Genomic DNA, 680 nt, shown 5'->3' with positions numbered 1-680 from the left:
ATGTCTGTAGCCATGTCTTAGTCCATTTGGGCTGCTATAACAAAATACCATAGACTGAGCACCTTATAGACAGCAGAAATTTATTTCTCACAGTTCTGAAGGCTGGAAAGTTTAAGATCAAGGTGCTGGAAGATTCCGTGTCTGGTGAGGGACCACTTTCTGGTTCATGGGTGGCTTCTTCTGGCTGTGTCCTCACACAGCAGAAGGGGTAAGGCAGCTCTCTGGGGCCTCTTTTGTAAGGGCGCTAATGAAACCATGCCCTGAAGAATTAAAGAAACCTGTGACTAACATAAAATATTGAGTTGCAGGATAGCAGTTAAGAAAAGAAACAACTTGCTGAAATTCTGAAAATCCCTCCATTTAAAAGGTAACAAAACTAGCTGAAATTAGTTGGGAGCAATGTGGCTGACTGGAGTTTGTGCAGAGTGAGCTTGCTGATGTCACAGCCTGAATTTCCACCACATTTCATACTAACTCCCCCCGAATTTGCACATGGGCCCCAAGAAAGAGGCATGAAGAGAGAACCACGCATGCCTGAGGACTTTCCAGACCTCCCCTTTCCTTCCACCAATCACCTGCTAATCTCGGAATCCACCCGCTAAACCTTTTCTAATAAAATAACTGCCTTAGCCCCAGCCCAGGGAGACAGATTTGAGCTTGACTCCTGTCTCTTTGGGAGT

At 45.4% G+C, this 680-nt stretch overlaps 1 annotated feature.

Annotated features, from left to right (window-relative positions):
• Positions 470-680: a silencer, noted in NCBI's record as "fragment chr3:23004270-23004480 (GRCh37/hg19 assembly coordinates)". NCBI's record gives its function as "represses an EF-1alpha promoter that drives an FKBP-Casp9 reporter gene in an ReSE screen in K562 erythroleukemia cells {active_cell/tissue: K562}" and the evidence as "EXISTENCE:reporter gene assay evidence [ECO:0000049][PMID:32094911]".

The sequence above is a fragment of the Homo sapiens genome, chromosome 3 (genome assembly GCF_000001405.40).
Source record: "Homo sapiens chromosome 3, GRCh38.p14 Primary Assembly".
Taxonomy (NCBI): domain Eukaryota; kingdom Metazoa; phylum Chordata; class Mammalia; order Primates; family Hominidae; genus Homo; species Homo sapiens.
This window is presented reverse-complemented; position numbering and strand designations above follow the sequence as displayed.